At 44.2% G+C, this 21,904-nt stretch overlaps 2 protein-coding genes across 7 annotated transcripts in view, besides 3 other annotated features; one reads left to right on the top strand and one right to left on the bottom strand.

Moving 5' to 3' along the window:
• C6orf89 (chromosome 6 open reading frame 89) overlaps positions 1 to 3,298 on the bottom strand; it is a 57,121-nt gene extending 53,823 nt beyond the window's left edge. For 4 of the 6 annotated variants that reach the window (XM_047418339.1, XM_047418337.1, XM_047418342.1 and 1 more), the window contains exon 1: positions 3,175 to 3,298. The gene's annotated coding sequence lies outside the window, so the exon portion shown is untranslated. The remainder of the gene's footprint in view (positions 1 to 3,174) is intronic. The other 2 variants (XM_047418340.1, XM_047418338.1) reach the window with 1 other exon arrangement.
• Positions 119 to 348: an enhancer, noted in NCBI's record as "active region_24445". NCBI's record gives its function as "activates an Ori minimal core promoter by ATAC-STARR-seq in GM12878 lymphoblastoid cells {active_cell/tissue: GM12878}" and the evidence as "EXISTENCE:reporter gene assay evidence [ECO:0000049][PMID:35858748]".
• Positions 339 to 20,313, top strand: PPIL1 (peptidylprolyl isomerase like 1). Its single transcript, NM_016059.5, has 4 exons — positions 339 to 425; positions 3,270 to 3,424; positions 18,488 to 18,556; positions 19,109 to 20,313. Exons 1-4 carry the CDS (start codon positions 370 to 372, stop codon positions 19,327 to 19,329), a joined length of 501 nt encoding a protein of 166 aa, NP_057143.1. The 5' UTR covers positions 339 to 369; the 3' UTR covers positions 19,330 to 20,313.
• Positions 7,014 to 7,513: an enhancer, noted in NCBI's record as "H3K4me1 hESC enhancer chr6:36835405-36835904 (GRCh37/hg19 assembly coordinates)". NCBI's record gives its function as "activates a minimal SCP1, AML or CMV promoter by ChIP-STARR-seq in naive and primed H9 embryonic stem cells {active_cell/tissue: H9 hESC(naive and primed)}" and the evidence as "EXISTENCE:reporter gene assay evidence [ECO:0000049][PMID:30033119]".
• Positions 14,812 to 15,313: an enhancer, noted in NCBI's record as "H3K27ac hESC enhancer chr6:36827605-36828106 (GRCh37/hg19 assembly coordinates)". NCBI's record gives its function as "activates a minimal SCP1, AML or CMV promoter by ChIP-STARR-seq in primed H9 embryonic stem cells {active_cell/tissue: H9 hESC(primed)}" and the evidence as "EXISTENCE:reporter gene assay evidence [ECO:0000049][PMID:30033119]".
• Positions 20,314 to 21,904: the final 1,591 nt, after the last annotated feature.

Below are 21,904 nucleotides of genomic sequence, written 5' to 3'. Positions count from 1 at the left end.
GAGACTAAGAAATTCTTCGAATTTAATATTAGGACATAACTCCAACCAGAGCGCAGCTTTTCTGGTTGTTCCCGCCTTCCATGCCTAAACGAACCAATCAGATCGCCCAGAGTGGCGCGGTATCGCCACTTGGAGACCACCGCGAATGAAGTTTGCATTTTCCTCTGTTCTTGAGCCCAGCTTCTTCTCGTCTCCCACCCCAGCTTCCCGGCATTGGAAGAAGGGACCGTCCTCTTCCTTGTCTTGGCCACCCAAATCCTGGTATCGAAAGGGTTGAACGGACCGGAAGTGTGCAGCAGCGACGGGTCCCCAGCTAATCGACGCCGGAAGTAGCAATTACTAGACAAGCATTCCGCCGCCGGCTTCGCTATGGCGGCAATTCCCCCAGATTCCTGGCAGCCACCCAACGTTTACTTGGAGACCAGGTGAGGGGGTTCGGGCGTCTGGGGCTGGCAGAGGAGACGCGGAGCCCGGGCCTCACCACGGGTCTGCGTTCCTGGCGCGTTCCTCCGGGAGGCCGGCCTCCACGTGGAGGGGCGTGGAGCAGCGGCCGAGACGGCCCCCAGAGGGTTGAGAGGGGACCGCCATCGCCCGCGTCCAAGCTCCGCGGGGTCTTGTGCTGAGGTCTCAGCAATAGCTGCCTGATTGTCCTCCTTCCCCCAGTCCGCTCATTCATTCATTCATTCATTCAACAAACGTGTAATGAGTCCGCAAGCCAGGCATATGGAATATGAGTTCTGAGGATACAGAGGTAGATAAAACACAGACAGCCCTGCCTTTAGGAGCTTACGGTATAATGAAAGAGACAGACATGTAAACATTACGTGATAAGTAATACAGTTGTAGAAACAAATTCCAGTAAAATACAGGAAGAAGCACATTTTCCCCACTATCAAAGAGTGATGTGGTAACCAACCTGCTGGCGCCATGCCCCGCTGTATGTCATCTCATTTAGTTTAATCTTAGCAACTCAAATCATGAAGGTATTATTTAACTTTCTCCCTTTCAATATTAGCAGGAGGAAACGCCGGAATTTACAGCTTAAAGCCTTGACCAAAGCCACACAGCTAGTAACTGGAAGAACCTCGTTTGGAGCCTGGTGTGCTCGTCTCACCTTGCTAGATCCTTTAGCTCTATTCATTCCATTGCCTCTTTGGAAAAAGCTCAAAGTGATCTTTACAAAGTAGGACAAGGAAGGGATCCTGCTCAAAAAACCTTTAATAACGTCTTGCTGCTATAACAGTATAAAGTAAAAACGTATTAATCCTGACATTCAAGGTGATTTTTTTCATCTGGCCCTTGTCTACCTGCCATTCTCCCCTCAACAGCCAGGGACCAGCCAAGGTCCTCTGCCTTTCTGTTCTTGCCCATTGCTGCTTTCAGCTAAAGCAGAGTTCTGTCAGTCCTCTCTCTATTTGCTCATGCTGTTCATTTCATGCTCCCTGGCCATCTTCCCCACCTTATATGGCAAAATTCTACATCTTCAGGCTCCAACCTGTAATTTCTGAATTCTCCTGTTGGTATTTTTTAAAGTTACAAAATAAATTGTTAAATCCAAGCAATGTAGACATACAGAGTAAGAAGTGAAAGTCACCTCCTTCCTGAAAACACCATCAACAGTTTGTTGGATGATTGTCCAGACTTTTTTCTATGTACATATAAACCTCTCTCATGTTTTTTTAACAAAAAAATGGGATCATATGATCATACTGTATGTATGTTTTTTCTGTAACTTGGTTTTCTTTCACTCAGTAATTCAGGTAGCTGCCCATAGTATGGATAGTTGATATTTTAGGCATTTCCTATTTCAAGGACATTTAAGTTGCTTCCTTTTTTTTTGGCTATGACAAATACTGAGATGAACATCCTTGCACATATTGTATCCTTAGGCACTTTTGTATATTTTCCTAGAGGATACTTGGAAGTTGAAATTACTGAGGTATGCACATTTCAGAATTGTATACGTACTTCCTGATTGTCTTTCCAAAAGGCTACTTTCTGTATTTTGAAAATATCCTCCAGAATGTAAGCTTCATGAGGGAAAGAGTACCACACACAGAGTAACTGTCAATCTGTGTTGAATGGGAGCAGTGTGAAAGATGAATTGGATGAATTTCAGGCAGAAAGGCTGTTAGCTATTTTCTAGCACACTCCTCATATACTTATAGAGTGTTTACACTGTGCAAGGCACTGGGTATCCAGACTATACAGAGTTGACTCAATTCTCACATCTGGCCAGGTGCCATAGCTCACATCTGTAATCCAGCACTTTGGGAGGCCAAGGCAGGTAGATTGCTTGAGCCCAGGAGTTCAAGACAAGCCCGGGCAACATGGTGAAACCCCATCTCTACAAAAAAATACAACAAATTAGCTGAGCTTGGTGATGCATGCCTGTAGTCCCAGCTACTCAGGAGGCTGAGGTGAGAGGATCACTTGAGCCCGGGAGGTGGAGGTTGCGATAAGCTGAGATTGTGCCACTGCACTGTAACCTGGGTGACAGAGGAGACCCTTTCTCAAAAAAAAAAAAATTGTCACATCCTTGGAGCTTAAAGTCTAGGTATGTGCTGGAGTAGAGGGGAAGGCACTCGTCCTTTCTCTTGCCTCTTCCTTATCTTTTAGTAGTACTGGTGAGGAAAAAGCACTCATCCTATTGGGTAGGTGCAAAGATTCAAAGTTACCAGGTTTTGCCTTTGTTATACTCCCTCCCAAACAAACACAAACTGTACCTTTTATTGAAATTTTTTGAATAGGTAATGTATTTACATGGATCAAAAATACAAAAGTTTTTAAAAGGTATTCATTAAACATCTTCCTATTTTCCATCTACCCAGTCCCTACCCCCACCCAGAAACTTCTAAATAAATATGAACTCCTGATATTTTAATGTCTCTTTTTTTAAAAAATTAAAAATTAAGTGTAAGAATTTTTTTCCTAATTTAGGGGTTGGTTATATTGGTTTCAGATAATCAGATATAGCTATATATATATACATATGTATATATGTATAGTATTAGAATTTTGAGTTCTCCATGCTTGTTATTTTGCTGAAAAGAAGTACCCAGAACACCTGCGTGTTTTACTCAAAAAAGATAATGGGTGTTTATGTTACTTGCATTGTGGTGTTTTCCTTTGCTGAGCATGAAATCCAGTGGTTATCACAATTTCATGACTTACAAGCTTGAAAATCAAGAGTCCTGGAGCAGTTCCATAATACTCCTGTCTGCCCTGACCTTTTTGTTTACTGGAGCTGTTGTCCTCTCCCTCTGCAGCATGGGAATCATTGTGCTGGAGCTGTACTGGAAGCATGCTCCAAAGACCTGTAAGAACTTTGCTGAGTTGGCTCGTCGAGGTTACTACAATGGCACAAAATTCCACAGAATTATCAAAGACTTCATGATCCAAGGAGGTGACCCAACAGGGACAGGTACAGTTAAGCCAACATTAGTTTATGTTTTCTTTTTTTTTTCTCCTTTTCGTCTTTTTTTCTAAAGCCAGCATTAGTTTCTGAAGTCTCTGTCGTAAATAGGTGATAAGGCAGCCAGAGCTCTCTTTTCCACTTACTAAGGTCTGTGTTGGTTGATTCTGGTGACAACGCCTGCCTTCCTCAAACACACATGTGTGGAATTGACCAGAAACCAACCTTTACTCCTAGGCTTGGTAGAGTTTTTCATAACTTACATGTACTGCTCACTAAGAACAAATAATATTTGTCTGAATTATAGTGATGCAAGTAGTCTGATCAATAAGAAGGAAAGACTTTATAATATTTTGAGAATAATAAAATCCTGGGTTCTTTTATCGATTCATTCATTTAACAAATACTGAGTACCTGTTTTGTGTCAGATACTTTTTTAAGCTCTAGGGAGATACCTATAAACAAAGAGACAGAATTATTGCTCTCAATAAAGCAGGAAAAGGGTGTGGGGATGGAATTTTAGTAGAAAAGTCAGGGAACTCCTCTCTGACATTATTGGAGAAGAGATCTGAATGAAGTAAGAAAGTGAACCTTGCAACTGTGGGGAGAACATTTTGGATGGAGGGAAGAGCAAACACAGAGGCCCTGAGGCAGGAACCTGTGCTGGAAATCATAAGATATGATACCTTATAGGGCATGGTAGAGACTGGGTTTTATTCTGAGTAAGATGTGATGTGAGTCATTGGAGAGTTTTGAGCAAAGGAAAGACATGATCTGATCTATGCTTTAAAAGGATCACTCTAGGCTGGGCACGGTGGCTCACGCCTGTAATCCCAGCACTTTGGGAGCCCGAGGCAGTTGGATCATTTGAGGTCAGGAGTTCAAGACCAGCCTGACCAACATGGTGAAACGCTCTGTCTACTAAAATACAAAAATTAGCCGGGCGGGTTGGTGGGCACCTGTAATCTCAGGTTCTTAGTCGGGAGGCTGAGGCAGAAGAATTGCTTGAACCCAGGAGATGGAGGTTGCAGTGAGCCAAGATCGCACCACTGCAGTCCAGCCTGGGTAACAGATTGAGACTCCCTCTCAAATAAATAAATAAATAAAAGGATCACTCTAGCTGCTGTTTAGAGAATAGATGTAGGGGCAAGATGTAAACACTATGTAAATAGTTGTTGTACTGTATTGTTTGGGGAGTAATGACAAGAAAAATAGTTCTATACATGTTCAGTACAGATGCTTCCCCCCAAGATGTTTTCAGTCGCGGTTAGTTGAACCCATGAATGTAGAACCCACATGTAGGGAGGGCCGACTATGCTCATGAGTAAGTAGTTGGATAGGAATATGGGGTTCAGGGAAAGACCTGGTATGGAGGTATTAATTTGGGAGTTACTGGCATTTAGATGGGGTTTATTAGTGAACTGGTGGAACCCTTACTCATTTCAAGGGCCCTTGCTTCTCAGTCTGCTTCTTCTCTGCTAATTTCTGCTCGTTTGCCTTTAAACAAGTTTGGTTTTCTCTATAGCAGAGTCTTTTCTCAGTCTTGTTCTTTTTTGTCATTCTTAATCGTCTCATGATTTATCATCTATGGTCAGAAGCATTCAGGTTTTTGGGTTTTTTTTTTTTTAATGTATATGGATGCATTTCAAAATACAGAATATATAAGAAAGCAGAGAAAAGGGGAAAAATCATTCATAAGCATAGCTCCTAAAGATTTCTAACCATCATTAACTAATCCCTAAATATCCCATCTTTCAGAAAGGAACAGTGTTAACTTTTGGTGCCCATCATGTCTGGTTTAAGGGATGACAGGATAAATGGAAGTAGTTTCAAAAAAATAGGATATATAAGCTATTGTTTTTAAAACAGAACATATTACATTTAATTTCATATATATAGAACAGAATATTTGACTTCCTACAGTGAAAGATGAGGCAATTAGTACTTAAATTTCTACCCATTCTTATTTTTCCCCGACCTTAATTTTTGTTGTTAGTTTTATTATTATCTGTTCTGCACTCATCATTCCTTCAGCTACAGTGTGGGTCCTACGTTTCAGTGTATTTAGTGTTCACAACTTGCTTCGCTTTTACCTTCGCAAGTGCTGGAGGGCAGGATTTCTTGTCTAGTGGTTTTTTAGTGTTTTTTTTTCAGAATGCTCAAGAATCACAATTGTCCAGTGGTTTTTTGTTACAAGAGCTGGAATGTGTTGTATTTTTAAGTTCATTCATGTTTCAGAATTTCTGCCTGTTACTTTTATACTTGAAAAGAGATAGCATGTTGGCATGCTCAGCCCCCTCACTGTGTGATGCACTGTGCCACTTTGGGACTTCACAGAGTCCCCACCAGCAAGAAGGCTCTCACCAAATGTGGCCACTTGACCTTGGACTTCTCAGCCTCCACAACTGTAAGAGATAAATTACTTTTTTAAAATAAATTTTTTAGGCCAGGCATGGTGGCTCACACCTGTAAGCCTAGCACTTTGGAGGCTGAGGCGGGAGGGTCACTTGAGTTCAGGAGTTCAAGACCAGCCTGGGCGACATAGTGAGACCCCGTCTCTACAAAAAATAAAAAATTAGCTGGGCATGGTCGCATATGCCTGTAATCCCAGCTACTGGGAGGCTGAGGTAGGAGGATCACTTGAACCTGGGAGGTTGAGACTGCAGTGAGCCATGATTGTGCCCACTGCACTCCAGCCTGAGCGACACAGTGAGACACTATCTCTAAATAAATAAATTAAAATAAAATAAAAATATTTAAAAGGAAGAAAAAAAGACCATAACTGGGTATAGCATTCTGAGATCTTTTTAGACATTTCTGATCAATTGCCTTCTGGTTTGGTTTTTTGTTGTTGTTTGTTTTTGTTGTTGTTGTTGTTGTTTTTGGAGACAGGATCTTGCTCTGTCACCTAGGCCCAGGCTCGAGTACAGTGATACAATCATGGCTCACTGCAATCTCCATCCCCTGGGCTCAAGCATTTCTCCTACCTCAGCCTCCCGAGTAGCTGAGACTACAGGCATTCACCAGCATGCCTCACTAATTTTTAAATTTTTTATAGAGTTGAGGTCTCACTGTTGCTGAGGCCGGTCTCAAACTCCTGGGCCTAAGTGATCCTCCTGCCTCGGCCTTCCAAAATGTTGGGATTACAGGCATGAGCCATCATGCCTGGCTGCCTTCTCATTTTTGAATATGGTTTTGGAGAATACTGAGGCCAGATTTACTCCTTCCTTTACATCAGGGTTAATTTTTTGATTTCTATTTCTGAATATTTTCTCTGTTATACTTACTGGATTTTCTATTTCAGGAAATATAGTTATTTGTTTCATCACCTTTGCCTTCCATATCTATCATATTTCTTTTGATTGTGTGATAGGATTTTTTTTTCTTTTTTCCCTGCATTCACTAAAATAATCTCAGACCTTTACTCTGTGCCTTACTCAATTTTCAGTCATTTTTATTCTGTTCTTTACTGCTCTAATTTATCTACTAGCTCATTACTGATGCCATTTGAATCTAAATTTGTTTCCTTCACTCTGCAATCTTTTCATCTTATTCTGTGGTGTATTATCTTGTCTTTGAGCTTTTGTTATATTATATTTTTACTTCTCTTGAATCATCCATAGCTTGAGATAGCCATGGAGAAGCCACTTTCTCCCAGGCTGAGTTCCTGGGTTTTCTTTTCCTTTCTCCCCTCCTCCTTTCTGTCCTTCTGTTGGTTGTGGTATGTTTGCCTAGTTTCCATGCCATTTGTTTTCATCTTATCCATGCTTGATGTCAACACCTACATTATCCCCACCTTTTACTTGCTCAGATACAGTGTAAGTGGAGTCTCCTTGTCATTCTCCCCACTTATGTGGAACTGGTTGTCTTCCCCACTTCAAATGTTAGGTTGCTTTCTCTCTATTCTATTCTAGCCTGAAGAGGTGTGGGAGAGAACTGGAGCTCAGCTCATGCTGAGCGAGCCCCTTGTGGGAGGGCTAGCCTCTGTTCTATCTTCCCAGACTCCCTTAAAGTCTTGTCCCAGAGCCCCCTCCACCAGCCAGTGGTGTCCCTCTGTCACCACTCCAGGCTCTGGGTAGTCCCCAAGTATGGCCCAGCACCCTGGAAGGTGGCCAGCCCTGCGTGCCTGCCCTGCCACTCCCGAGCCCCTGTGATATGTGTGGGCTTCTGCCCTCAAGGGCTTTGTTTTCAGAGCTGCTCACCCACTCCCCTGTTGGCTGTTCAGAATCGGAGGGTATTTGTGAGAATCTCAGCATGACATTTCTTTCCTGGTTACTGGTTTCAGGGAATACAGATGGAAGAATTTTCTATTTTTTCCTCTTGGCTGACTCTTTTTACAATTTTAGCATGTTTGGTTCCCTTTTCTTATTTGGTTGATGCTGGTGAACTTTTGACTTTTTAATTTTTAATTTTTGTATGTTCACTTTATTGGGTGTTGGGAGCATGTGGTAAACGTGCCTGATAGCAATAACTGAAACATACCCTTAGAATGACCCTGTATGGCAGACGCATCTGAATGTGTGTTCTGAGCTAGGGAATCCAGGAGTAGCCAACCTGGAGGTTCCTTCCTTGTCTATAAAGGGACATCTGAGCCCCTGGCTCGTCCTGTGAAACATGGGCCGCACACGGGTTGAGGCCCCGAGTTTTGAGTTGAATGAAGATTGCCAGGTGGAGATTGTTAGGGAGAAGGTGCTAAGTGGAAATGCTATATAAACTGCATGCTTTTTGCAAGCCATTGTGGTTCTCCGCCACCATTGGACTCTCTGCCCTGTATGTAAGTCCCCAATAAAACCCCATGTCTCATTTGCTGGCATTAGGTCTCTTCGGTCTATTGAACCTGATGCCATCCCCATTGGAGTCAATAGAGGTTCGGCACAACAGGGAGGCAGAGTCTAGTCCTGCTTCATTCTACTTTCTTTGTCTGAAAGGGTTCCGTCGGTACTTCGATGTACTTCTTTCCTGTCTTCTTCCTCTCTCCCCCTCATGTTGTTATGAAATAAATTTTAATTCTTAATACCAGTGAACTGAGAGTCCATGATTAGGGTACAAGTATTGGAAGTGACTCAGGTGTGAGTTGCTCATGCCACAGCTTTTCTGTATTTCTGTAGTTGGTTCATGATCCTTCATAATGTCACATTTCCATGGTGTAATTTTAATGAAATTGAATCACTCAAAAGATCTTCAAATAACTGCACCCAGCCTCAAGTATAATGAATGACTGAGCAGCCCACTGGCAGGTCTATGGTGGAAGGCAAGCAGGAGTTAGGCTCTCCTGGGTCACTAGTTCATATTTTCTAGCTGATTAGGTGACACGTTTTTTGTTAAACATCTCAGATGGGCAGCAAATGACATCCTGGGCTCTTCAGCAAGTTGATGTACCACTTCCATTCCCAGCTGTCCCTCAGTCTGACTACTGTGGAACCATTCTTTCCACATGCTTTCTTGTAATACATCTTTGCCAGATGCCTTGTCAATTCAAATACCCTTTGACTTCCTGCTTCATTTCATTTTAAACCATTTTTCTACCTTCAACTTTCCCATATTATAATAACTATAGAGGCTCTTTCCTTAGCCCTCTGAGTGTCTTTTATTTGTTTCTACTAACCTTTCTGTCCTCTCTGTAAGACATAACATCCTGTCAAGTTCTTCCTTTAGCTCTTCCTGCTCTGCACTTGGCCTCACAGTGCTCACCAGCTGCTGTGATTAATTATATGCTGATTATCCTGTGCGTCACTCTCACTTTGATTTCATCTCTCCTCTTGGTAGCCCCAGGAACACCTGAAATGTAACGTGTTGAACAGCAAGCTCTGTTAATTTTATTCATTTGATGAGTATTTGCCAAGAGTCTGCTGGGTATCCTGTGCTATTCTAAGGCCTGGGAGAAGCACTTAAGCATTAAAAGCCAAGGCATTTTCTTTTTCCTTGCAGTTCCCTGCCCTGCCAGGAAACAAACTATTCATTATAAGAAACAACTAGAATGGGATAATATAAATATGCAAATGTATGATAGTACGGTGTGGATTATGTATATAATATAGGTTGGAGTAATTCACAATAAGGGAAAAAGCACAATGGAATGAGATTAGGATGGGAAGGAGGCATATGCGAGATGGGTCTTGGGAAGTAGAGGGAAGGGCATTTTGAATTTAGGAAGAAGGGTGGGTACAGGGCAGGAGTGACAGAGGCATGCAGGGGTAGGGAGGGAGCCCGCCACCCCCGGTGTCACATCTTCCACTCTAGACTGGCTCTTGTGACATCACCCAGCCACCTCTCCACACCCAGAACAAATGCATCAAATGTGATTCAAAGGCCCCTGTAAAATTTACAGATCTCGGAACTGCCTGTTTAGGGGACAGTAAGGAGCAGTTTGGGGCCAGTTAATGGAGACTCCTAGACAGAGGAGTTCAGATTTGATTGAGCATGACTCAGGGACCATTTGGGACTCTTGAGTCTGGGATAAGACAAATCTGAGGAAATTTCATCCAGCTGTGGACTATGGCAAGACAGTTTGGTTCAGGGTAGAGCAGGACTGTGGAGCTTGGGCTTGCCTTGTGCTTCACATGAATACTTACTAAATGTAGAGGAGTTGCCTTACCCTGCTGAGCCAGCTCACCTGTCGGGAGTGTGGTTACGTGCACCTCCTAGGCTGGTTGTGAGTAGTAAATGAGCTGATGTTGGTACAGTGGTTAGCATGGGCTTGACACAAAGTGGGAGCTCAAACAAATGTGACTGGTTTTTTTTTTTTATTGTTAATTCATTTAACAAATACCTATTAGACTCCTTCTGTAGGCCAGGCACTCTTCTAAAAGCTGGAGATACAACAGTGAATAAGAAAGCCCTCGCGGTGCTCTCATTCTGGTGAGAGACGGAGAATGAAAAAGTACATAATATACTCTCAGGGATGGCAGATGATATGGAAAAAAGAATGTACTGCTGGGATGGAACAGGATTTCTCAACCTAGGCACTATTGACATTTAGAGCTGGATGATTCTTTGTTGGAGGGGGTGCTGTCCTGTGCATTGAAGGATGGTTAGCTTCGTGATGGCTTCTAACTGCTTGATACTGATAGAACCACTCAGTGTGACAACCCAAATTGTCTCCAGACATTGCCCACTGTCGCCAGGGGTCAAAATCACTCCCCGTTGAGAACCACTAGGCTAGAGGGTGAGGGAAGTGCTGGTTTGGAGAGTGTGATTAGGGAAACCTCTCTGAGAGCATTTGACCATAGTTCTGAATGAAATGAAGTGGTGATCCATGAGACCATCCAGGCCAAGGGCACTCTGAAGAGAACAGCAGCCAGAGGCCTTAGACCAGAGTGTGCCTGGCAGGAAACAGCACAGGGGCCAGTGTAGCTGGAACACCTGAGAGAGTGGCAGGAGATAGCTCAGAGAGTAGCAGAGTGCCCAATCGTGGGGGGTGTTGTAAGCTGTGGTGAGGATTGTGGATTTTGTTCTCAGAGTGATACAGTGTTGATGGAGGGTTTCAAGCAGGGGAGTGCTGCGATTAGGCTTGTTTGAAAAGGATCCCTGTGGCTACCATGTGAAGAATAGAGGGTGGGGAAAGAGGGAGGCAAGGCTGGAAGCAAGGAGACCAGTGGGAAGCTTTTATTCCTATTCAAGCTGGAGATGGTTGTTGTTTGAACTAGGGTGATAGCAGCTGTGTTAGTTCTGGTCCTCTGGGAAGCAAACACCAAGATAGAGGTTTATTGGGTAACACCTGTGAAAGATAAAGGGTCAGGGAACCAGGTTTGGAAGGGAAGGTCTTCACACAGCAGCGCAGGCCTGAGTAACACCTGTGAAAGCAGAGGGGCGGAGGAGGAGCAGCTGCCAGTGAGCAGCGAGGAACACCAGGAGAATGTGGAGTCGTGGAAGCCAAAGGAAGACAGCAACTCAAGCAGAAGGGTGACATCGAGTGTGGATCAAGTAAAGTGAGTGCTGAGGATTGACCACTGGGTATAACCACGTGGAGGTCACTGGCGACCTTGACAAGAGCAGTTTCAGCGGAGCGGTGAGGGGCGAAAGTCTGAATGGAGCATGTTCAAGCAAGAATGGGGAGAAGTAGAGACACTTGGTGTTGACAGCTTTTTCAAGGAGTTTTTCTGTGAAGGGATGTAGAGAAATAGGAGGATACTTGGAAATAGAGTTTTGCTTTTTAAAATAGGAAATATCAATAACATGTTTAAATGCTGACAGGAATGATCCATTAGAAAGAGAAAAATTGGTCTACTAGAGGGGGAGGTTGTAGTTGCTGAGTTCTTTAAAGGTGAGCGGGATTGGGTACGTGGTGGTAGGATAGTCATGGACAGCTTATTCACACAGTGTCTTAGGGAAGGGAGGTGGGTAGAGGTGTAGGAAGGGAAGGGGCTTTGGTGGTGAGAGCATGTGAAAGTTCTCTTCTGATAATTCCTTCTTCTCAGTGAAATAAGAAGCAAGGTTCTCCTCAAAGAGTGAGCAGCAGCGAGGGAGTGGTGGAAATTTGAGGACAGAGGAACTGAATAAACCCAGGCAGGCTGCCTCCCGAGGTGGCACTTTGAATCATGACCAGCAGCTTCTCAGAGAAAATGCTCGGGTTACCTCAGTTAAAGGGGCTCTTCATCACTGACACTACTGTGTGTTTGCCTCATGTTACACACCAGATAGCTTCCATATGCTGTCTCATTTAATTCTCATAACAAGCCTGTGAGACATAGGTGTTACTGCTACTCCCATTTTGCAGACAGGGGAACTGAGGCTTGGAGAGAAAGTGTCTTGATTAAGGTTAAACAGTAATTGGTGGGGTCAGAACTGGAATCCAGACGTCTCTGACCCCAAAGGCAAGTGAGAAAGAGAAGACAGCATCTTCAGAACCACAAAGCCCCTTGGAGGACTGTGGCATTGTTCCCGTCTGGTATATTAACAAAGTGTTTGTGTCAGGTAGCACTGCTTTTGGCTACAAGTAACAGAAAACCTAATCCCACGGGCTGTTTTTTCTTACACAACAGAACGTCTGGAAGTGAGCAGTTATTGTCATCTCTTCACCAGCCCAGAAGAGTTGTCAGGGATCTAGGCTTGCCATATCTTTCCCCACTTCATTCGTAATGTGTTGGCCTTTGGTCTTGAACTTGTTAGTCTTATGGTTGCAAGATGGCTGCTGCTGTTCTGGCATCACCCTACTTTCAAAGAAGGAAGATGGGAAAGAGCTGTAGATGAAGGACAAAAGAGTATGTCTGTTTTTATCAGGAAAGCTGTAGCTTTCTCAGAAGCTTGACTCAGCGACTTCTGTTTGTATCAGTAAGTCACAACTGGGTCATCTGGCCACGCCTGTCTGCAAAATGGACTTGTCAGCACCTGCCTTTTTTGTCTCTGAGGTTGAGGCAGGCTGTGGAGGAGGAGGCTGGGGATGCTCAGGAGACTACTGACGGACAGTGTCTGTTAGAGGCACTCTTGCCAGAAGAGAGGCTTTGATTGGTCAGTTGCCCTCTGGTGTCAGGTGCCCCACTGGCTCTCCTTATAGGCCACTGCCCATCTGTGGGGCTGGATATTAATCTATTGTCCCATCAACTGTGGGGTGGGAGGGGCGGGGACAAGTAGCACCAAGTGTGGTCATCTTGGTGTAAGACACTGCATGTCCCATGCCTTAGACATCATTTTGACAGGTTTCCACAGTGACTAAGAGGAGGAGGAAGGGACATCACAGGAGTCACAGGGATGAGAAAAGGGTTTTTTGTGTTTTGTTTTTAAGAAACAACACAGGCCAGGCACAGTGGCTCACACCTGTAATCCCAGCACTTTGGGAAGCCGAGGTAGGCAGATCACCTGAGGTCAGGAGTTTGAGGCCAGCCTGACCGACATGGAGAAATCCCGTCTCTACTAAAAATACAAAATTAGCCAGGCATGGTGGCGCATGCCTGTAATCCCAGCTACTCGGGAGGCTGAGGCAGGAGAATTGCTTAAACCTGGGAGGCGGAGGTTGCGGTGAGCCAAGATGGCACCATTGCACTCCAGCCTGGGCCACAAGAGCGAAACTCTGTCTCAGAAAAAAAAAAGGAATTAAAAAAAAAAAAAAACACAGATCATAAAGAAGAAGGTTAAGAAATGTTAACTGCAAAGGTTCTGTTCATTGGAAGATCCCATTACAAGAGTGAAAAAAGTTAACTGGGAGAAGGTATTTGCAAAACATTCACTGACAGAGGATTAGTATCTATAGTATATAGTTGAGCCTTTACCAACATGGGTTTGAACCATGGAGGTCCATACAGTTTTCTCAGAGCCCACAGCGGGACTTGAGCGAGCAGGGATTTTGGTGTCACAGGGATCCTGGAACCAATCCCCTGAGTATACCAAGGGATGACTGTATGTATCAATTCCAAAATGTCATACCACTGAGTGGCCGTTCACAGAGGGGACAAGCTAAATAAGCCAGTAAACATGAAATTATGCCAAACTTCAGAGAAATGCAGTTTAAAACACCACAAGAGGTCTCACACTTCTCAGACTGACAGAAGGACCTAGAGCAGTAAGAGTGAGAGTGCTGCGGGGTGGGGTGCATGTTGGTTCATCCTTTTCAATAAGGCACTTAGAAAAATCTAGCAATGATGAAATACTCAAACTATGACCCTGTGTATCCCCTGTGAGGTATTGGCCCCCGAGAGCTCTTGCACTTGGATTTCGGAGACAGTATAAGAATAGTTTTTATAGCATGGTCGATAATAACCAAAACATTGGAAAGATCCTCAGTATCAACACCAGAAAAGATAAGACAGAGCATTATGGTCATACAGTGAGGTGAACACTACAGAGACCTGCCTGGAACAAAGTAGATGAGTCTCTCAAACAGTGTTGAGAATATATAAAGTGTAATACCACTTATGTAAGCTTAAAAACATGCAAAACAACAATACTTTTTTTTTTTAGGGGTACATAGATGTGTAGTAAAAAAGCTTAAAAACATGCAAAACAGCAATACTTTTTTTTTTTTTTTTTTAGGGATACATATATGTGTAGTAAAAAAGAAAATGCATGGAAATGCCAAATTCTTGTCAGAATAGTGGTTACCTGAGAGGAAAATGTGATTCTTTGAATCAGCTGTTAGCTCTCAGGAGAATGAGTGGTGGGGAGAGATGCAGTGGGGTGTATGCATGGGGTCTTAGCTGGATTTGCAATAGTTTATTTCTTGGGGGCGGAGGTGGTCATAGATATTGGTCATATTATTCTTTGTATGTTTGCGTGTCTGAAATAAATACATTGAATAAATGATCCCAAGAGAGGACAGAGGACAGAAGAGGAAAAGAATCTCTTTTTTTTTGGAGACAGACAGGAGTGCAATGGCGCAATCACAGCTCACTCTAGCCTCGACCTACTGGGCTTGAGTGATCCTCTCACCTCAGCCACCTGAGTAGCTGTAGCTGGGACTGCAGGCACGCACAACCACGCCTGGCTAATTTTTGTAGAGACGAGTTTCACCATGTTGCTTAGGCTGGTCTCAACTCCTGGGCTTAAGAGATCCGCCCCCTTCAGCCTCCCAAAGTGTTGGGATTATAGGTGTGAGCCACTTGTACCTGGCCAGAAAAGAATCTTGAAGGTTCTTTTCTAACCTGTAATCAAAGGTTAGAAAACAGGTCTTGGCCGGGTGTGGTGGCTCACACCTGTAATCCCAGCACTTTGGGAGGCCGAGCCTGGCAGATCATGAGGTCAAGATTGAGACCATCCTGGGCAACATGGTGAAACCCCATCTCTACTAAAAATACAAAAATTAGCTGGGCATGGTGGCGGGCGCCTGTAGTCCCAGCTACTCAGGAGGCTGAGGCAGGAAAATCACTTGAACCCGGGAGGCAGAAGTTGCAGTGAGCCGAGATCGCACCACTGCACTCCAGCCTGGTGATAGAGTGAGATTCTGTCTCAAAACACACACACACACACACACACACACACACACAATAGAAAACAGGTCTGCCTATCTTCATTGTGTCTGTGCTAGACCAGGCACAGAACCTGCAAAGCTTCCAAATTGTTGGCTTTCTAACTGATAATTGACATCTGAGTAGCATGCTCTGCACTGGAGAACTCTTTAATCATTCTCTGTCCCTCTGCCACCTCTCACTTATTCCACGTGCCCAGAGGAATGTTTGAATTAGAATGATTTGTCTTTCTGAAATTTTGCCGCAAACCCTACTGAGTTGAATTGGGTTATGAAAAGATAACATATTATGAGTAAGATATTATGAAAACTCTGCCTATTGAGTAAAGGTGATCTCCATGCTCTTTCCTCCTGTATCCTCTGATTCCCACTTCATCTGTGACTTTTTTTTTTTTTTTTTTTTTTTGAGACAGGGTCTCACTCTGTTGCCTGGGCTGCAGTGCAGTGGTGCGATCTCAGCTCACTGCAACCTCTGCCTCCCAGGTTCAAGCGATTCTCCTGCCTCAGCCTCCCAAGTAGCTGGGATTACAGGCACGTGCCACCACGCCTGGCTAATTTTTGTATTTTTATTAGTGATGGGGTTTCACCATGTTGGTCAGGCTGGTCTCAAACTCCTGACCTCATGATCTGCCTGCCTCGGCCTCCCAAAGTGCTGGAATTACAGGTGTGAGCCACCATGCCCAGCCCATCTGTGACTCTTGACTGACCTATTCCTTAATGCACTTCTTGTTTGTGGTGATGTTTGTGTGATAGTTTACCATTCCTAGAGGGCAGGGTCCTGGGGGGTTTGTTCTGGTAGCCCTCAGGTTGCAGGGATCACACTTTGAAGCTCAGGCCACAGACTGACAGCGTACTACTGAACTGAATCCTTAGCTTGCTCACTCAAGTCCTGCACGCAGAGCCTGGCCTCTGTGGCGTCTGGCCCCACAGCCCTCTCCCTAGTCTCTGGTAACCCCAGCCAGGAACCTTGACTCTCTAGTGGTTGCCAAAGGACCAAGCAAAGGGGAGGATTGAGTCAGAGGGAACATATTGGTTATATAATTGCTGTTTGGAAGTATACTGACAGGTTGGAATTTTTGGAATGAGTTTTACACAGTTTAGTGTGGTTCAGTATTTTTCCAGAAGCATAGGTAGCCTGGGCCAAGTGGGAGGTTTCCCCTAGTCTGTTAGGATTCACCCCCATCCCTCTTTGCATGAGAACAGTGTTTTCTTCCGGAAAAGAAACGGGGGCTGTGACAGGCTCCCTGTGGTGAAGCCGACTAAAAGGTAAAGCAAAGGATTTTTGCCATGGAAACACCTTAGCCATGCCCAGGGGCCTTGGGGGTGGACTTGGTGCTACTTTTATAGCAGGCAGTAGAGGAAGTGAGCTGCCAGCACTGGGCTGCAGGGCAAGCAGAGTACCAATCCAGTGTTTACTTTGTTCTAGGCTGTTTTGTCGTGACCGTTCAACTTGGAGAAACCAATGTAGTTCAGTAAGGCATATGATTGACTACATAATTGATTAGTATTGGTTAGGAAAGTTGCCTCCTGTTTTGACATGTTTTCCTGTGAGAAAACCATGTTTAACTTACATCTTTTTTTTTTTTTTTTTTTTTTTTTGAGACAGTCTTGCTCTGTCGCCCAGGCTGGAGTGCAATGGCATGATCTCGGCTCACTGCAACCTCCACCTACTGGGTTCAAGCAATTCTCCTGCCTCAGCCTCCCAAGTAGCTGGGACTACAGGTGTGTGCCACCATGCCTGGCTAATTTTTTTTTTGTATTTTTAGTAGAGATGGGGGTTTCACTATGTTGGCCAGGCTGGTCTCGAACTCATGACCTCGTGATCCACCTGCCTTGGCCTTCCAACGTGCTGGGATTATAGGCATGAGCCACCGCGCCTGGTCTAACTTACATCCTTTTGCTCTTAGAGCAAAACCTGCCTGAGCTTAGGGTATCCAGCCCAGCACCCTGCTCTTGTGGGCATAATATAAATAACATTTGGTGGTGATGCTGCTAGCAAATAATTCCCAATCCCATGTTTCTTCATTTTCCCTTTATTCATTTATTTAGAGTCAAGGTTTTGCCTCTTGCCTAGACTGGAGTATACTGACATGATCATAGCTCACCGTAAACTCAAACTCCTGGGCTCAAAGCAGTCCTCCTGCCTCAGCCTCCTAAGGAGCTGGGACTACAGGCATGTGCTACCACATCTGGCTGAATTTTAAAATTTTTTTGTGAGCCAGGTGCAGTGGTTCACGCCTATAATCCCAGCACTTGGGAAGCCAAGGAGGGAGGATTGCTTGACGCCAGGAGTTTGAGACCAGCCTGGGCAACGTAGCAAGACCCCATCTCTAAAAAAAAAAAATTTATGGAGTCAGGGTCTCGCTCTGTGGCCCAGCTCAAACTCCTGGCCTCCAGCAGTCCTCCTGCCTCAGCTTCCCAAAGTGCTGAGATTTTAGATGTGAGCCACCACACCTGGCCCTGTTTTCTCTTAATGATGTACTGCCTCACCTCTCAGTGGACTCTGCCGACCGTAATGTCCCTTTCTGCCACATTGCCACTTACCAGCTATTTCTCCTTCAGCTGGATAGCTTTAACTTAAATGAATTTTATTTTCCATCACCTAGGTTAAGGGTGGCAAATAGGTTTCAACTCTGGGGCTATTACTGATTAATTAATAACGGCTGCCTGAGTTCTGGGTTGATAACATTCAGAGGCAAATCTAGCTCAGCAGGGAAGAATACTGATTGATTGGCAATGTCTGTGATGGGCACAGGGATAGGACTTGGGGCACTCATGTCTAAAATACTCAAAAAAAGGTTAAAAATCAAGAAACCTCTTAACACATCAGATTATGAATGGTGGTTATCTCTAGATGGTCAGGTTACAGAGGATTTTAATGTTCTTTTGATAATGTTCTATGTTTTCTACCTTTTTGATAGTGAACATGTATTATTTTAATGTGCAGGAAAAAATAGCGTTATTTTGAAAAGGAAAGTCTTATCGGAATGAAACCAATGATTTGAATGTGCTATTAGTGCTAGATTCTGTAGTTGCAATATACCTAGCAGTGGGGTAGGTGTCACTGCCTTTTCCTTTCCTCTACTCTGAGAAATCCTTTGACCCTGGGCCATCATTCTTGCTGTGAGATAGAATGTGTGACTGGCTGATTCATGTGTCATCTTCCAATCGGGCAGGTCGAGGTGGTGCATCTATCTATGGCAAACAGTTTGAAGATGAACTTCATCCAGACTTGAAATTCACGGGTAAGTGTATAATTTGGCTGGACTGGGTAGGAACGGGGATTTTAAAAGCTCACTCTTTTGGCCATGATTCAAGGTGAATGCCTGACACCGTGGCATGGTGCCAGATAGCTGCCCAGCCATGGCGCCATGAAGTGCCCTGGTGGATTAGAGAAAGCAGCGCCTCTCACAAAGTTCTGAGCAATTCAGAGCACTGGTCGGTGTGTTCTAGACTCTAACTACTTGTTAAAGGTCACAGGATATCAAAAGTGTCCTCAAAGAAACAGGAAACCTTGCTGGGTTTTTGAGGGCAGTCAGGAACATGGTCCACAGTTAGTGAGGAGCATCAGGGGTCAAGGCTGGGGAATAGGTGAGGACAAGGAAGATGAAGTCGCCAGAATAGTGTAGTGATGGCCTTTGTACAGGGCAGAGAGACTGCCCTGAGGGGTTGTCTGGGTCTGGACAGAGGCCAGAACAAAGTCCTGGCTGCTTTTTCATCCCTAGGATGGGGCAGCAGCTCTACACTGGACCTGTGGGGTTATTTATACTCTTTCCTTTCTTCCTTTTTCCCACCAGGGGCTGGAATTCTCGCAATGGCCAATGCGGGGCCAGATACCAATGGCAGCCAGTTCTTTGTGACCCTCGCCCCCACCCAGTGGCTTGACGGCAAACACACCATTTTTGGCCGAGTGTGTCAGGGCATAGGAATGGTGAATCGCGTGGGAATGGTAGAAACAAACTCCCAGGACCGCCCTGTGGACGACGTGAAGATCATTAAGGCATACCCTTCTGGGTAGACTTGCTACCCTCTTGAGCAGCTCTTCTGAGATGGCCCCAGTGAACCAGCTTCTAGATGACATAGAATGACATGTAATGCTAAATTCATTTTGGCTTTGCAAGTCATGAAGCTTAGGAGGCCTGGCATCTTGGGTGAGTTAGAGATGGAAGTACATTTTAATAGGATGCTTCTTTTCTCTTCCCCCAGTGCCTAGGTTGCCAGAGCATTTGCACAAATGCCCCTGTTTATCAATAGGTGACTACTTACTACACATGAACCATAATGCTGCTTCTTGTGCATGTCTGCTCTGATATACGTCGAACAATGTAGCAGCCACTGTCATTTCTCAGTGGTTTTGCCTAACCAAACTTCTTCCTAAGGAGATTTATATTCTGGCCTACACAGCAGTCCTTGATGGCTGACAGCCACAGAATTCCAAACCAAGTAGTGTCTGTCAGCCCTCTTAACTCTGTGCACGCCCTATTTCAGTCTTTTACATTTGTTCTTCTAGGGAATGTATGCATCTCTATATATATTTTCCCTCTCAAAACCAGAACATCAACAGTGCTGTTTCTGACACTTCAGACATCCCACGCAAAGCCACATTGAATTTTTGCCAAATGAAAAACACATCCAACAATCAAGTTTCTAAGAAGGTGTCAAGTGGGGAATAATAATAATGTATAATAATCAAGAAATTAGTTTATTAAAAGGAAGCAGAAGCATTGACCATTTTTTCCCAGAGAAGAGGAGAAATCTGTAGTGAGCAAAGGACAGACCATGAATCCTCCTTGAGAAGTAGTACTCTCAGAAAGGAGAAGCGCCACTCAAGTTCTTTTAACCCAAGACTTTAGAGAAATTAGGTCCAAGATTTTTATATGTTCAGTTGTTTATGTATAAAAATAACTTTCTGGATTTTGTGGGGAGGAGCAGGAGAGGAAGGAAGTTAATACCTATGTAATACATAGAAACTTCCACAATAAAATGCCATTGATGGTTGAAATTGCTGCTGTGGTCTGATTCTAAATATTGTATGAGGTTCCAATGGTCATTTTAATCCCAGTCATCTTAAGTAGTAGTACAGAGATTGAATGTTCAAGATTTCACATCATTTTAGGCTTGTGGATCTCCAGTAGACTTCTCCCTCTTTAAGAGCAATTCTAACTTTAAAAGGGCAGAACCAGAGAAAGAATTAAGTGACAGAAATTGACATTTCTGAATAAGAGGTGTATTCATCTGTTTTCACATTGCTATAAAGACACTACCTGAGACTAGGTAATTTATAAACAAGAGAGGTTTAATTGACTCACAGTTCCACATGGCTAGGGAGACCTCAGGAAACTTACAATAATGGTGGAAGGCAAAGGAGAAGCAAGCACCTTCTTTACAAGGTGGCAGGAGAGAGAGCGAGCACGGGGGAAACCACCATATTTAAACCATCAGATCTCATGAGATCTCCCTCACTATCGTGAGAACAGCATGCAGGGGGAAAATGCCCCATGATCAGTCACCTCCCACCAGATCCCTCCCTCGACACAGAGGATTACAATTCGAGATGAGATTTGGGTGGGGACACAGAGCCAAACCATGTTGGGGGGATTACCTGTAAGTGAACCAGGTGTATGTGCTAAGAGACCTGCACCATCCCTGGAATTTGCAGAGAGCCCACCTGCACATTATTATGGGACCAGAGGCAGTATATGTTGTGGTGTTTGGTTCCTTAAGCTGGTAGCTCCTTGAAGAGGGGATTATAACTTTAATGTTTCTTACTACTCTATCAATTTTGGAAATGGTGATTTACTTTATGGAATGGCCAAACAAGGTTCTGTTCCCCAAGCCTTCCCTACCTTCAACCTCTTTCTCTACCTTTCTCTTTTCTCTCAATAGCAAAAAAGCAAAACCCAACAACAAACCATATAAATGACTTTGTAACTTCCCAGAGATGGTTTTTGTATGCAAAGTAGTGTTCTACACTCTGGAAAAAATAGAAATGTATTTCTTTCAGCCTGAACTGGGTGGACATAATTGGATCTGCCTCTGAGAGCAAGGAATAGCACCTGTTCACTAACCTCCCAGAATCGTAATCCTGAAAATCTCCACTTTCATCCAAGGCACAGGCGTGGTGGAAACGTATCATGGCTACTCTGAAGCAAAGAAGGTTCTGCATGCCTTGGGAGGAGAGCCACACAGGCACAGTTCCTTGTTTTTGGAAAGGGACACCAAATCCATGCTAAGGCAGTCACGTGGGCACATACCAGTTTTCATAGAGGATATGACCTCAGAGAGTGAAGCTTGAATTGTTTCACAATTTGTGGTTCTGCCAGTTAGCCAGAGTTGTAGAAGTTCCCGTTTCCTTATAAGGGAAGCTCATCTAAAAGGAATCCTGCTTAATTCTTTGGTCATATGAGTGTCTACATCCTGTCAGGATTAGTACCATTGAGACAGGTCTCATAAAAGTGGGGTGTACTAGAGATAGTTCATTTTTGTTACATCTCATCACGGTGAGGGTGGTGAGCTTTCTCCTGGCTTATCAGGAGAAAACAAGGATAAGTTTAAAACTTGGATGGGGATTATTGAAGATAGGTGTGGAGGAC

This window comes from Homo sapiens, chromosome 6 (assembly GCF_000001405.40).
Source record: "Homo sapiens chromosome 6, GRCh38.p14 Primary Assembly".
In the NCBI taxonomy this organism is placed as follows: Eukaryota; Metazoa; Chordata; class Mammalia; order Primates; family Hominidae; genus Homo; species Homo sapiens.
Note: the sequence above shows the minus strand (reverse complement) of the source record. Positions and strands in the feature narration are given on the sequence as shown.

Excerpts from the sequence above, each read along its gene's own strand:
- PPIL1 (NM_016059.5), top strand. The coding sequence starts at position 370 with ATGGCGGCAATTCCCCCAGATTCCTGGCAGCCACCCAACGTTTACTTG. Across the intron at positions 426-3,269 it reads AACGTTTACTTGGAGACCAG|CATGGGAATCATTGTGCTGG; the intron begins GTGAGGGGGTTC and ends CTCCCTCTGCAG. Across the intron at positions 18,557-19,108 it reads TCCAGACTTGAAATTCACGG|GGGCTGGAATTCTCGCAATG; the intron begins GTAAGTGTATAA and ends TTTTCCCACCAG.